This window comes from Homo sapiens, chromosome 5 (genome assembly GCF_000001405.40).
Source record: "Homo sapiens chromosome 5, GRCh38.p14 Primary Assembly".
NCBI lineage: Eukaryota > Metazoa > Chordata > Mammalia > Primates > Hominidae > Homo > Homo sapiens.
Genome location: NC_000005.10, coordinates 40824141 through 40839448, shown reverse-complemented (window position 1 = coordinate 40839448; position 15308 = coordinate 40824141). Strand labels below are relative to the sequence as shown.

Below are 15308 nucleotides of genomic sequence, written 5' to 3'. Positions count from 1 at the left end.
TCCTGTCTGTGACTTTGTATCCTTTGACCAGCACCCTTCCCTTCCCCGCAACTCCCAGCCTCTCTCTGGTAACCACCATTATACTCTAGGTAAGAGTTTTAAAATATGTATCTCAAAAGTATGGCTTTCAAGTGATGCATCCCACCTCATGTCCACAATTTGATTGGCACTGTCATAAAGATTGCCAATTTTTTGTTGTTGTTGTTCAACTTGACCAGGAAGGTACTTTAATAACAGGTGTCCCAAACCACCAGTCTCCTCTCCAATGCTCAACCCTAAATATGCTCCTTTCTCACAGTAACCTTTCTGAGATTTCAAAGCCAATGGGAAAAAAGTGTTCACTTGAAGTGGGAAACTTAGCACTGAAATTTAAACTTCTTTCTACAAGTTTTCCTTTTGTTTTGTTTTGAAACAGAGTCTCACTCTGTTGCCCTGACTGGAGTGCAATGGTGCAATCATAGCTCACAGCAGCCTCAAACTCCTGGGCTCAAGCAATCCTCCCCCCTCAGCTTCCTGAGCAGCTGGGAGTATAGGCTTGCGCCAACCTGTTCAGCTCTTTTTAAAAAAAAAATTTTGTGGAGACAGGGTTTCACTACATTGTCCAGGCTGGTCTCGAACTCCTCGGTTTAAGCAATCTTCCCGCCTTGGCCTCCCAAAGTGCTAAGATTACAGGCGTGAACCATATTTTTTTTATTATTTGTAGAGATGGGGTCTCTCTATGTTGCCCAGGCTGTCCTGGGCTCAAGTGATCCTCCCACCTTAGCCTCCCAGAGTGCTGCGATTACAAGTGTAAGCCACCATGCCAGGCTGTCTAGTTTAAATTGTTTGTTGATGGCCGGGTGCGGTGGCTCACGCCTGTAATCCCAGCACTTTGGGAGGCTGAGGTGGGCGGATCACCTGAGGTCGGGAGTTCAAGACCAGCCTGACCAACATGGAGAAACCCCATCTCTACTAAAAATACAAAATTAGCCGGGCATGGTGGTCGATGCCTGTAATCCCAGCTACTTGAGAGGCTGAGGCAGGAGAATCACTTGACCCCGGGAGACGGAGGTTGCGGTGAGCCAAGATAGCATCATTGCACTCCAGCCTGGGCAACAAGAGCAAAACTCCGTCTCAAAAAAAAAAATTGTTTCTTAATAACAGAAATTTGCATACCACAGCCTTAGAATGCAAAGGAAGTGAGGTGGGGGAAGGATGAGTGTAACCAGGATGTTCTCTATTATATAAAATATAGCCAGGAGGTACAAAATTGAAAGTATAGACCTCAAATCAGAATAATAACACAGGATTAAAAGTTTTAAATGTGTTCTATTTTATTATTGTTGTTTTTTGAGCTTTTTTTGTTTTGTTTTGTTAGGCTAGTCTCGAACTCCCAACCTCAGGTGATCTGCCTGCCTCAGCCTCCCAAAGTGCTGGGATACAGGTGTAAGCCACCGCACCCAGCCTTATTATTAGTTGTTGTTAATCTTACCGTGCTAATTCATAAATTAAACTTTATCATAGGTATGAATGTACAGTAAATTCTCCCTTGAATTGCTCCTAATGAATTTATGTGATGTTTTAAAGACAAAAGTCAACAGTAATTTCATGTATTGTAGAAATAAAAAGAGGCAGGTCTCAGTGCTGAGTCCTGGTGGTCAAGAGACTTGATTGTATCAGAACCATGGATGCAGGACTTAACATAGTTTCTATCACTGCCAAAAAGCAAAATGTCAGGGGGTGAATGCCTAGGCTAACAGCCTTAGATCATCCGTTTCAGATGTTGATCTAGTCCTGGCTGGGCGTGGTGGCTCACACCTGTCATCCCAGAACTTTGGGAGACTGAGGGGGTGCTGATCACTGGAGGTCAGGAGTTCGAGACCAGCCTGGCCAACATGGTGAAACCCTGTCTCTACTAAAAATACAAAATATTAGCCAGGCGTGGTGGTGGCGTGCGCCTGTAGTCCCAGCTACTTGGGAGGCTGAGGCACAAGAATTGCTTGAACCCGGGAGGTAGAGGTTGCAGTGAGTCGCGATGGCACCACTGCACTCCAGGCCAGGTGACAGGTGAGACCCTGTCTCAAAAAAAAAAAAAAAAAAAAAGTTGATACAGTCACTAGCCCTGACCTAAACCTAGCAATTGTATAGAAAATTGGAGGGTCTGACTAGCCTTCATAGACCTCTTTAAAGAAAGCCAAGGGTTTACTTGATCAGGGCAAAATTTACATGGTTTGACATACACCAAAAAGAACCACCGAACACTAGAGAGAGGAGGAAAAATAATTCTCTCCTGTCTTCAATTCTGGGAATGTCTGGAGTAAAGAGACTGACATAATGCCTGTCACACTGCTTGGTTCCTTAATGGTTGACACCTGTCCTACCTTTTCTACACTGACCTCATTTCTCATAGTCCCCGTGGTAGGCAGAATAATGGCTGTCTCCAAAGATAACAAGGTATTAATCCCCTCAACCTACGAATAAATTAGGTTATGTGGCAAAGGACAATTATAATTGCAGAGGGAATTAAGGTTGCTAATTAGCGAAACTCGAGATAAGGAAGTTACCTGGATGGAGTCAATGTAATCACAAGGGGCCTTAAAAGTAGGAGAAGGATGGCAGGGCACCCGAACCCTTTGAGAGACCAAGACAGGAAGATTCAGGAGTTCAAGACCAGTCTGGACAACAGTGAGACCTTGTCTCTACTACAAATAAAAATAAAAGGAAAGGAAAAAGAATAAGACAGATGCAGAATAAAGAGTAATGCAATGTGAGAAAGACTACAGTAGTCTCCACTTATCCAAGGTTTCCCTTTGCAGGATTTCAGGGTTTGTTACCCCATGGCCAACCATGGTTTAAAAATAGTTGAGTACAGGACAATAAGATATTTTGAGAAAAAGAGACCGACCACATTCACATAACTTTTATTACAGTATACTGTTATGATTGTTCTATTAGTTGTTGTTAATCTTTTATGGTGCCTAATTCATAAATTTAACTTCATCACAGGTACACATGTACCGAAAAAACAGTATATATAGGGTTTGGTATTGTGGTTTCAGGCATCCACTGAGGGTGTTGGAACTTAACCCACAGAAACGGGGGGGAACTACAGTATCACTGGTTTTGAAGATGCAAGGGAGCAATAAACCAAGGAGTTTGGGCAGTCTCTAGAAGCTGAGAAAGGAAAGAAAACAGATTCTCCCTCCTAGAACGGAAAGCAGCTCTGGCAACATTTTATTTTTAGTTTTCTCAGTTTTTTTTGAGACAGAGTCTCACTCCGTCATCCAAGCTGGAGTGCAATGGCGCAATCTCGGCTCACTGCAACCTCCACCTTCCGGGTTCAAGCCTCCCTCCACCTCCACCCCCTGAGTAGCTGGGTTGGCAGGCGCGCGCCACCACGCCTGGATAATTTTTTGTATTTTTTTTGTAGCGACAGTGTCTCCCTATGTTGCCCAGGCTGGTCTCCAACGCCTGGGCTCAAGAGATCCGCCCGCCTCAGCCTCCCAAAGTGCTGGGATTACAGGCGTAAGCCACGGCGCCAGGCCCTTGGAAACTATATTGAACAAGTTCCATGTGTGATTCCTTGGCACAATGAAATATGGGATCAGATAACTTGCCTCTGATTTACTACAGTAACAACAACAACAAAATCACTGTCTGCTTTTCCCTTTATATTCTAAGCTCCAGCTCCATGCCTCCGTACTCCTAGCGACCTCTCGCAGGGAAAGTCAGCGTCGGCCAAAAGCCTCCGGGATCGGAATGAGGAGGCTGCTGGAGAAGTTGCTTTCTCCTAAAAGGGATTATCCCAGGCGCACACGGTCATTACACGCCGGGGACGCTCAGTCGGTGCGGGTACCCCTGGGCAGGGCCAGCCCCGCATTCCAGGTTCTCCATGTGCCTAGAAGACAGTAATCGACGGTATAGCAACAGATCTGACTGCTAACGTGCGAAACCGATCAGTAGTAGCAGTAGCACCAGCAACAGCAGCACGAAAAGCAAAACTGTAATCTAAACGGCCCTCAGGGTCTAAGCAGGCCCGACGAAGACTCGCCCATCCGGTCGCCAGAAAACTGGGAGTCCCGCCCGCCTTTCCGGCACTGAAACGCGATCGGCCCTGCCTGGTACCGCATCCTCCTCTTGACCCCACCTACACTACGACGACGGACGCTCGAGAACGCTGCACCGCGCCCCGCAGGAAGTGCTTCCCTGGGCGGAAGCTTCTGAGCGTGATATAGCGGAAGTGCCTTCTCTTCCGGTCTTTCTGGTCTCGGCCGCAGAAGCGAGATGGTGAGTTGTGACTGTGGTGTTTGTGAATCGCGTTCCATCCTCGTCCTTTGTGCCTCTCTGTTTGCTGTGCTTGGGGGGCTGGCAAGATTCCGGATAAGGGGAACTGGTGGGCTGGAAAGAGGCATGCGGTGGCCCTCAAGAGCCAGAAGAATGACTGCTAACTGGTGCCTGGGGGACCTATCCCGCCGTAATTGTGGTGCTAGAGCCGCATTGTGTCCTTTGCCTCGGTCCAACCTTTGGAGACCTTTCACGGCTCTAGCCTTGGTTGGGAGCCGAGGGAAGGAGTTTGGGAATGTTTGGCTCTGTGTAACAATGAAATAATTCATTGGTGATGCTCTCTGGCCGGAGTCTGTAAAGATAAGGTGCATTTCAGAACATTGCAACTCTTGCGGAGGGTTTTAGGTAACGTGAAATGCGGGTAGTGGTCTCTGACTTGGCATTCGTGGAAAGAGGCTTCTCCCGCAGTTTCGATCTTTACGATTGCCTTTAAATTTTATCAGTAATTGGTTTCCCGGAGAACTCGAGTAAATCTAGAAGTTGCCAGGTTTCAGAACTATTTATTCCTTTAATGTGCAGACGAAGGGAACGTCATCGTTTGGAAAGCGTCGCAATAAGACGCACACGTTGTGCCGCCGCTGTGGCTCTAAGGCCTACCACCTTCAGAAGTCGACCTGTGGCAAATGTGGCTACCCTGCCAAGCGCAAGAGAAAGTGTAAGTAACATTTTTCAGGCCAACTGTGTTAGCTTTTGTTTGTATTGCACTTAAGTGGGGGCATAGGTTTGAACTTTATTTGGTGCCTATCTTAAAACTCGTACATCTGTATGCCGATGAGGTGGCATAAAACTCGTGTGTTAACAACACCTACAAGGTGTGTGGGAGAACACCGTTTGAAATCTTTTCTGAACTTATGTTTTAGATAACTGGAGTGCCAAGGCTAAAAGACGAAATACCACCGGAACTGGTCGAATGAGGCACCTAAAAATTGTATACCGCAGATTCAGGTACAGTTTGTATGTTCGATCATAATTGGTCCAGTGGGCTTGAATGAAACCCTCGTGTTTACTTGTAAAAAGATAACAGTACCCTGATGGTTACTGGGGATGAGATGTTGGAAGCTTTTTATTTATTGTTGTTTTTGAGGCAGGGTTTCACTATGTTGCCCAGGCTTGAGTGTAGTGGCACGATCACGGCTCAGTGCAGCCTCAGTCTCCCCAGCCTCAGGTAATCTCATCTCAGCCGCCCGAGTACCCGGGACTACAGGTGTGCGCTGCCACATGCCCAGCTAATTTTTGTATTTATTGTAGAGAATGGGATATTGTCATGTTACCCAGGATAATCTCGGAACTCCTGGGCTCAGGCCAGATGTTGAAAGCTTTTATCTTCTGCCGCTGTAACCTTGACATCAGTTAGTTTGGATTTTATTAGTAGTTTTTTCACTAAACAGTAGTATAAATTAAATAACAGGAGCATTGTTTGAACTAGGGTCCCAAAGTGTTGATATTTATTAGGTTTAATTGGTGTCAAAATTTGTCAAGACAGTAGTGAATAAGGTCTGGAGTCAGGCTTGGTTCAACCTTTAGTATAGTGGCTGTGGGCAAGAGTGCTGTAGAAAATTGCCCTGGTTGCTGCTGTTGCCTTGGGCTCTTGTTACTCAAGTCTTGGCCTTAGAGTTATAAATGCAGAATCTCAGCTCCGCCGTAGACTTAGCTGAGAGAACCTGCATATTAAAGAGTAGTTTCTAAGAGATTAACCCATCTAAGATCTCAGCTAAGATTCAGAATGATGCAGACTTAACTATAAAGCTGGTGCTCCTTCCGTTACTATGTTCTATTTCAGCAATTCTCAGCTATTGATACTTTGGGCTGGATAATTCTTTGTGGTGGGATTGTCCAGTGCAAAATTGAATATTTTGCAGAATCCCTAGCCTCTACCCACTCAGTCTCCGGAGTGTCCAGTTTTAAAGATAGCAAGACAGTTCAGGGCTTTGTAGACACCCATAGGTGTGTTCATGTGCTGAAGCAACTTTCTTTGCATTTAGGGTCATAACGTTTTTGTGGGCTTAATGTTGAGTGGTCTGTTAGTACAATATAGGAGTTAAGAGCTTGAACTGAAGCCAGGCTTTTAAAAGTAGGATAGTTGACCTTTCTTAGAGTAGATACTTCTTAGAGTAGATACAGATGTTAAATAAGTTAAAATGCAAAGCTCTTGGTTTAGAAAATGTCTGCCATTAAACATGCTAATTGTTTTTTCCTTGCTTAGTGAAAGTAGTTGGGATCTATTCTCAGTATAGGGAACCATTTTCACAAATAATCTGTGATCTCTTGCCAAATATGAACAAACATACTGGCCCAATGACTAGTATAGCCAAATAAGTTTTTGAGCCTTTATTGCAGTTGCAGTTAACTATATCCGAAAATGGGTATCTTTAAGCAAAGTGAAGAATTTCAGCTTATCAGTGATGTTGTAAAAATAAATGTCTGAACATATGAATGCAGTATTGATTTCAGCATTTAACTGAGATAAGCGCATTGAAATCTGTTTAACAAAAATTAAAATGTATGCATCGATGTTGCTGAAGTAACTTGTTCTTGTTTTTGACATCCTGCAGGCATGGATTCCGTGAAGGAACAACACCTAAACCCAAGAGGGCAGCTGTTGCAGCATCCAGTTCATCTTAAGAATGTCAACGATTAGTCATGCAATAAATGTTCTGGTTTTAAAAAATACATATCTGGTTTTGGTAAGGTATTTTTAATCAATTAGGCTTGTAGTATCAGTGAAATACTGTAGGTTTAGGGACTGGGCTAGCTTCATATCAGATTTACTTGTTAAGTGACTGTTTTGGAATGTTTACTTTTGGACTGGGTTTGTAACACGGTTAAAGGCAATGAGAAACAAGCAGAATTCCAGGAGTCCTTGAAGCAGAGGGCACTGGAAGACAATATAGCAGATTAAAATAGCACAGCTCATGTGGCATAGGTGGGTATTTTAGATGTTTGAGTAAATTTGAAAGAGTATGATGTTTAAATTACCTTTAGCAACATGTTCATCTGCTATGCTGTCATGACTAGGGGGATGATTATTAGTCACATAGAGCTTGGGAGTACCACTGGAAACGTATGGGTAGGAGTTTAGGTGGCTTCTGTTTTTCAAAAGATGATCTTATCCTAGTATCTGTAATGCTCACTTGGCACACCTGACTTGTGGGCTGTGTGTAAGGTGGCTAGCTAAGTGAAAAAAGCCTGCTAGGTGTGAGTCAACTTAAGAATATGTAAATAGGTTTGAGAAAAAGTAGGGCTTGGGTGCAAGTAAAGATTGAGCAGGAAATAAAGGAAAATCAAGTATAATCCCTGAGATTTGTAGACTAAAGGCAATGATGTGGGACTACTTGGTCGAATTTTTTTAGCCCTCAACTTGGTAATTGGGTGTTTCTGTGTTAAAGCACTGAAACTTGCTGTCGTGCCTTCCTAGTTTTCGTGGTTTATTGACAGGGTTGGGGGTTTTTTTTGTTTTTTTAAAATGAAGGGACAAAGTCAACTGGACTGCTGAGTGAGAGGGCAGGGGCAGTTGAAGGGAACATGAATTGCTGGAACAGCTACATAAAATAGTGATGTAGCCAAGTCATGCTATTTAAATTATAATTCTCCACTGTGTTTAGAATAACATCTGAGGTTCTTAACCTGGCCTTGGAAGGGTATCACTTTTACTTGTAACCTGGAATGGCTTTATAATGTGCTAGCTAATTGCTACTCTCATCTTGTATTTTAACTCCTAATTTACCCTTCAGGTCTCAGCTTCAGAACATTCACTTATAAAGAAACCCTGCTGATTAAATCTCTCTTGGGCTTCCTCCCGAAATGTGAGACTATACTTTAAAGATGTATGGTTAGAGTCCAATTGCCATTGCCTTTCTTGTTTACAGATAGTGCAATGGCGCAATCCTGGCTCACTGCAGCCTCTAATTCCTGGGCTCAAGTCAAGTGGTTCTCCTGCCTCAGCCTTCTGAGTAGCTGGGACTACAGATGCACACCACCACACCTGGCTAATTTTTGTGTTTTTTGTAGAGATGGAGATTCACTCGACTAATTCTTTTTGTATTCTTAGTAGAGACTGGGTTTCAACATGTTGACCAGGCTGGTCTCGAACTCGACCTCGTGATCCGCCGCCTCGGCCTCCCAAAGTGCTAGGATTACAGGCGTGAGCCACCACTCCCGGCTGTCATCATCAAATTTTCAAGTGAAGATAGTCTGTTGAAGATTGAACAATGACCTTGAAAGACAGCTGAGTTGCTGTGGGTATAATGTAAAGCTGGTGAAGTTTGGCCAGTTTGGGCTTCAGAAGTCTAAGTCTAGTGAAGGTACCCTGACCCCCATATAAACAACCCTTGAGGCCGGTGTGGTGGCTCACGGCTGTAATCCTGGCACTTTGGGAGGCCGAGGTGGGCGGATCACAAGGTCAAGAGATCGAGATCACCCTGGCCCACATGGTGAGACCCCAACTCTACTAAAAATACAAAAATTAGCTGGGTGTGGTGGCATGTGCCTGTAGTCTTAGCTACTTGAGAGGCTGAGGCAGGAGAATCGCTTGAACCTGGGAGGCAGAGGTTGCAGTGAGCTGAGATCATGCCACTGTGCTCCAGCCTGGTGGCACAGTGAGACTCCACCTCAAAAAAAAAAAAAAATCCTTGAACTAATGACTCAAATTTTCAAATGAAACAAAATAAGCAGTGGATCTTGCATTGGAGATGGAGTTAAACTATGTTGCCCAGGCTGGTCTTGGACTCCTGGTTTCAAGTGATCCTCTCATCTTGGCCTCCCAAAGTGCTGGGATTACAGGGACGAGCCACCACACCCCACCTATTGTCTATATTTCTATCTTTAACAGCACTTCAGTCCTGCCTTAAGTTATAGTTATGTATAGATACCCATTATACTTTAAATTTTTCAGCAGAAATTATGCTTTTATCTTCTCTGCAGTGTTATATGTTGGTGTGCAAAAATGTTAAATTTATTTTTCCTAAGTACCCCATCTGCTTTTCAACTCTGTCCTCTGCCTGAAAAGCCTCCCTCCAGCCCCTACTTCCCTCCCATCTTAGTTCACAAAGTCAGGTTGATTTGCCCCCAGCTGTCAAAGCAGACTACCTGTTTCCACATGTAACTGGTTATGTTCTGTAAAGTTACAAAAATAGAAAGGTTGAATCTGTGGCGGCCGGGTACGGTAGCTCACGTCCTATAGTCGCAGCACTTTGGGAGGCCAAGGTGGGCAGTTCACGTGAGGTGGGGAGTTCGAGACCAGCCTGACCAACATGGAGAAACCCCGTCTCTACTAAAAATACAAAAATATTAGCCGGGCGTGGTGGTGCATGCCTGTAATCCCAGCTACTAGGGAGGCTGAGGCAGGAGAATTGCTTGAACCTGGGAGACGGAGGTTGCGGTGAGCTGCAGAGGCCTCACCTCTAATTGAGACACAATTATATATTGTTGATATATATATATATATATATACACACACACACACACACTATGATGGATAAATGCATGAGTTTCTGTGAGAGCATTGGAAAGGAGTTTGTCACTCAATAGGTGAAGCCAGGCTAAGATTTAAGCTGAGCCAGGGAGGACTTGAAGGAATCATGATGAGAGAGAAGGTAAGTGGCTTTGCCAGCAATGAAACAGCTGACATAATGGTAACCAGTCAGAGGAGGGCATAACTATGAAACTGGACACCTTGGTTGTCAGGTTAGAAGGATGGGGTGTAGGGTTGGTAAGAAAAGAATTCAGGGAAGAGCAGCGATCAGATTATGAAGAATTTGTCTTGAGAAATTACAGAGGATTTAAACCAGAATGTTAGGAATAGTTATTCTAGCAAGATGAATGTGGAAAGTGTTAGTGTGCATGTGATGAGTCTTGAAGCTGGAAACTAGGTAACAGGTTCTTAAATAGTTCATGTGAAAATCATGACAGACTAAGGCAGTGGCTGTGGGGCTGTCCGGGAGTTCTCTACAGAAAACATCTAAAACTTGAATGTGCAAGTGAGTAGCTAACTTCCAAGCTTCCCATTTCTGTATAATTTAAGCATGAAAATGAGAACACTGAGATTTGATAGGCATGTAGAAGTCAGAGTAAGCAAGAGGGCTTGAGTTCATCGATGAACTTCAGTAACTATCCTTGACTTAGTATTGGTGGAAACCATTTGTGAATTTACAGACTCCAAAAACAAAAAGATAATTTAGAGTCTCAAAGTAAGATTTGGGGAGATGTCCATTGGAGACAGAAGTGGAGAGAGGGAGAAGTTCATTTGTTGACATATTTATGTATGGTGCACCTACTGTGTGCCAAGCCATGTTAGAGATACAGTGGGAGCAAAACCAGATGTGTTTTCTGCCCTCTGACTCCAGTGGTTGCAGAATTAGCCCAGGAACTAGAATTGGATGGAGTCACACAAACCAAGGAAGGGGATTGTTTGAGGGGGGCACTCAGTCACATGTGGCTGAGGCCAAAGAGAATGAAGATATATTTTAAAATTCTGGATTTGGCAAAATTTAGGCTAGTCTTTACTTTTCATAAACCTCTCTCATGTTAGAGCAGCAAAGAAAAACCAGTTTGCCAAGAGGTCACGAGATTGGGCAGTGAGGAATGGGGAGTTTAGTTTAAAAGACAACACTAGATACTTTTGGAAGTTTACCTATTCTGTGGTTCCCTTTTATTGACTAAATGGTGCCCTTCATTCATGAAGCAAGTATCTATTTAGTGACTACTATGTGTCAAAAGCTATCTAGGCCCAGAAACTTTTAAGTGGAAAACAAAACAAAGACCCTGCCCTGACAGATTTCAATCATGTATATACTGTATGTATGTTTGTGGAAGGTGACATAATAGACAATTGCAGATAGTGATAAGTGTGTAAGACAAGGATACCACGAGCGTAATAGACAGTGGGGATGGAGGAACCTTTAGAAGGTTGGTTAAGTTGAATGATAAGGAGCCATTCTTTTGTCTTTACCTGAATGACTTATCATTCAGCCCTTTTTGAGTTTTGGGTTGCTTGCAGAGTTTAACCTTGCCTGTAATTGAAACTTAATTTTGTAATAGCATAACTTCATGTAAGAAAAGCAAAGCAATACATTACAGAATTATTTTACTGAAGAACTTGTTTCAGAGAAAGAGGCTGTTTCACATTTATTAGCACATTTGGATTATATTTAGGTGTTTTATTTTTTTTTAAACAAAGGAGTTTGGATCATAATACAAGAGAAGCACAGGGCAAAGACACTGCATAACCTCAAGAACTAAGAATGGAAGGACTGGCCAGGCCTGGTGGTGCACACCTGTAATCCCAGCTACTCAGGAGGCTGAGGCGAGAGAATCGCTTGAGCCTGGGGGGCAGAGGTTGCAGTGAGCTGAGAGAACGGCGGGCGGCAGAGCGAGACTCCATCTCAAAAAAAAAAAAGGATAAAGGAAGGACTTAAGCAAAATCTTCCTTGTAAGTAGAAGGATGTTTTGACAAGAAAAGTTGCAATGGAAAAATGGTTCTCATGTACACGAGTATGTAGAATAAGCATCGTGTGTGGATTGGATTCAGATCAAAACATTGCTTTTATGTTTGTGTCTTTATACGGTGGGAGTATACCCTGGTGCCCCAGGATGAAGACTTGACCTGACCCATGTATTTTTAGATTACTCACAGATAACAAAAAGTATTTTCATCATGATTAGTTGCGAAAACAGTTTTATTTCAATAGGTAAAACGTGCAGTCCTATGTAATCGTCAGAAGGTAATCTTAATTATAGCTTGGGTGTGCTTTAAACTGCAAGCTGGCAGTGGAGGGCACGATTCCTCTGATTTCAGCTTTCTCCTTATACTTTTCTGGAGCTGTGAGCTGCAAGTTAACTCAGTGGGATTAAAGTGTAGACTGGAGGTACAAAAGGTGAGGAGTGAGGAGATAGGGTAGTTCTTCCTTGGCTGGCTGGCTTCATAATCCCTGGGCCCCGCAGATAATTAAATCGACTTTTTCTGTCTCAGGCATTTGTATGACCTCTTTGGAGGTTCCCTGCTGGGTAGTTATCCTTGTATCTGATGGACCCATCTCAATTTAAAATACTCTGCCAGGTTCGGAGGTTCATGCTTGTCATCCCAGCACTTTGGGAGGCTCAGAGGTGCCATTGGCTTGAGCCCAAGAGTTTGAGACCAGCCTGGGCAACCTGGTGAAACCTCTTCTCCATTAAAAATACAAAAAATTAGCCAGGCATGGTGGTATGTGCCTGTAGTCCCAGCTACTCAGGGAGCTGAGGTGGAAGGATTGCTTGAGCCTGGGAGGTCAAGGCTGCAGTGAACCTTGATTGTGCCACTGCACTCCAGCCTGGATGACAAAGACCCTGTCTCAAGAAAAGTCTGTAATTCTTTCCTAACCCTTAGTATCCAGCCTCAGTCCTGAGGTTTTCTTTACCTCTGGGGGCTATTTTATGCCGGCTCTCTCCTGAGTGTCACACATCTGGTCCTCAGGAAACATTCTCACATCCCTGGCCTGAAAAAAACAATTTCAGGGAGATCGCATGGCAGCAGCCCTCTCTGGGCTCCCCAGCTAAATGGTTGTACGAAACACATTTCAAAGCTCTCTGAAGGGCTTCCTTGAAGTTCCTTTCACTGGGTTTCAAAGTAGAAGGTAGTAACTCCTTTGTCCAAGAAGGCTGAATTGAGCACTTAACAATTCTCCAAAGAAATTTCTTCATTGGTCTCTATCCTAGACCCCTTCTGTATCCTTGATATGGCTGAGGATTCTAAAAAATGACCAGTCTTACATGGGAGGGCTGGGATATAAAAAATAAAATAATAAATAATGATAAAAACTGAAAACTGACCACGTTCTTGGATATGTTTTCTTTGGGTTGTGTGTGTGTGTGAGACTTTTGATAGTTACCCAAAGTAGGAAAAATCCCATTCTAATAAGGTTATATTTATGTAGCTCTGCAAATAAACATCTAGCAAATGTAAAAAGTATTTTCTTTGCCTTAAAAATGATTAAAATTATTTGAACTCCTGAGGAGTGTTATATGAATAAAATTAGTAAGTTATTTGGAGGAAAGTTATTTTTTAAAAAGACAACTGGTAAAACAGTACAGGAGAAAGGCCAGCTTCCTCAAGTGAGGACAGTTGTTTAGAATTGACTGAGGAGCGGCCGGGTGCGGAGGCTCACATCTGTAATCCCACACGCCTTGGGAGGCTCTGAGGCGGGTAGATCACCTGAGGTCAGGAGTTTGAGACCAGCCTGGCCAACATGGCGAAACCCCGTCTCCACTAAAAATACAAAAATTAGCCAGGTGCAGTGGCACACACCTGTAATCCCAGCTACTCCGAAGGCTGAGGCAGGAGGATCACCTGAGCCCAGGAAGTTGAGACTGCAGTGAGCTGAGATTGCACCACTGCACTCCAGCCTCAGTGACAGCGAGACTGTCTCAAAAAAAGAAAAAAGTGACTGAGGAGGAAGAGGCCAGGTGGCAAATGGAACAGAATCACCAAAGGGTGAACAGGACTAAGGCAATGTAGTGTATGGCTCAGCTACGTCAGAGTGGAAAAGGTGTTATTAGAGCAGAAACTATGGTCCCTGCGTCACAGGGAAGCAACCTACAGAGAAGCAGCAGCTCCCCAAGAGAGGAGAGATAAGAAGCCAGAAGCCTCAGAGTGAACAATTGTCCTATTAGGGATTGCTCTAGAGAGAGAAACCTCTGGGAACGTACCCCTGTGAGGCAGCACAGCACAATGCTTTTAGAATTGTATGAGAGTTGATATATCTCCATTTGTTTTGCAAAGGCAAAAACTAAGATACAGAGATTATCTGTTAAAGTTATGTATTTCTTTGGTAATAAAGATGCTGACAGTGTTGCTGGAATGCATTTCTTTAATAAAGATATTGTACAATGAAATACTACTTTTGCAGCAAATTTGTCTTAAATAGGATCCATACTATGATATGGATCCATATCCATATCCATACTATGATAAGGATCCATACTATGATAGTGCTAATCATACGCCATAAAGTACAGAGATCTAAGACACCACTCACATATAATTTTAGCATTGGGCCAGGCGCGGTGGCTCACGCCTGTAATCCCAGCACTTTGGGAGGCTGAGGCGGGAAGATCACGAGGTCAGGAGTTCAAGACCACCCTGGGCAATATGGTGAAACCCCGTCTGTACTAAAAAAATACAAAAATTAGCTGGGCTTGGTGGCGCGCCCCTGTAGTCCCAGCTATTGAGGAGGCCGAGACGAGAATTGCTTGAACCTGGGAGGTGGAAGTTGCAGTGAGCCAAGATTGCACCATTGCACTCCAGCCTGGGCGACAGAGTGAGACTCTGTCTCAATAATAGTAATTTTAGCATTGGGTTAGCTCATCTAAGAGGTAATAGCAAGCCATTTTCCAGTAATTCTGATTAGATCAAATCTGCCCTTTTCTGATCCCCCCACAACCACAAGAAAGGTTCTATAAGAGCACATATTGTGGAGTAAAATCCTCAAAAGTTTTAAAATTTTTGAACAGTTAAATTTTGAATAGATTTCATATTTATCAGACAACTCTTGGGGTCTGAATAGATGTACTACCTGGAGATTTAAGGATAGTATCACACTCTGCCCTCTGGCATTTTTCAACGTCTTGAGTTCAGACCAATGTTGAAAATCTGTAGATGCAAGCATAGACAGGCACTATATGTATGTAATGAACTACCATGTTTTAGCCCACTAACCAAGTTTTTCTTATTTCTTTGCAATAAGTAAACCTTGGGCCAGCCGTGGTGGCTCACGCCTGTAATCCCAGCACTTTGGGAGGCCAAGGCAGGCAGATTGCCTGAGCTCAGGAGTTTGAGACCAGCCTGGACAACATGCTGAAACCCCATCTCTACTAAAAATACAAAAAATTAGTTGGTCATGGAGGCAAGCAGCTGTAATCCCAGCTCCTCGGGGGACTGAGGCACAAAAATTGCTTGAACCCAGTAGGCGGAGGTTGCAGTGAGCTGAGATTGTGCCACTGCATTCCAGCCTGGG

At 43.7% G+C, this 15308-nt stretch overlaps 1 protein-coding gene and 1 non-coding gene across 3 annotated transcripts, besides 2 other annotated features; both read left to right on the top strand.

The window, feature by feature from the left end:
• Window positions 2825–3648: an enhancer, noted in NCBI's record as "NANOG-H3K27ac-H3K4me1 hESC enhancer chr5:40835903-40836726 (GRCh37/hg19 assembly coordinates)". NCBI's record gives its function as "activates a minimal SCP1, AML or CMV promoter by ChIP-STARR-seq in primed H9 embryonic stem cells {active_cell/tissue: H9 hESC(primed)}" and the evidence as "EXISTENCE:reporter gene assay evidence [ECO:0000049][PMID:30033119]".
• Window positions 4167–4326: an enhancer, noted in NCBI's record as "active region_22504". NCBI's record gives its function as "activates an Ori minimal core promoter by ATAC-STARR-seq in GM12878 lymphoblastoid cells {active_cell/tissue: GM12878}" and the evidence as "EXISTENCE:reporter gene assay evidence [ECO:0000049][PMID:35858748]".
• Window positions 4227–14187, top strand: RPL37 (ribosomal protein L37). 2 transcript variants are annotated; one of them, NR_159993.1, is made up of 5 exons: window positions 4227–4266; window positions 4843–4978; window positions 5184–5268; window positions 6876–7007; window positions 11498–14187. NR_159993.1 is itself a non-coding variant. In NM_000997.5 (4 exons), exons 1-4 carry the CDS (start codon window positions 4264–4266, stop codon window positions 6943–6945), a joined length of 294 nt encoding a protein of 97 aa, NP_000988.1. In that variant the 5' UTR covers window positions 4227–4263; the 3' UTR covers window positions 6946–14187. The 2 variants fall into 2 exon arrangements, 1 of the variants encoding a protein (NP_000988.1); NM_000997.5 differs by having other exon boundaries at window positions 6876–14187.
• Window positions 6714–6793, top strand: SNORD72 (small nucleolar RNA, C/D box 72). Its single transcript, NR_002583.1, has one exon. It is a non-coding gene; the product is annotated as a small nucleolar RNA, C/D box 72 (small nucleolar RNA).
• Window positions 14188–15308: the final 1121 nt, after the last annotated feature.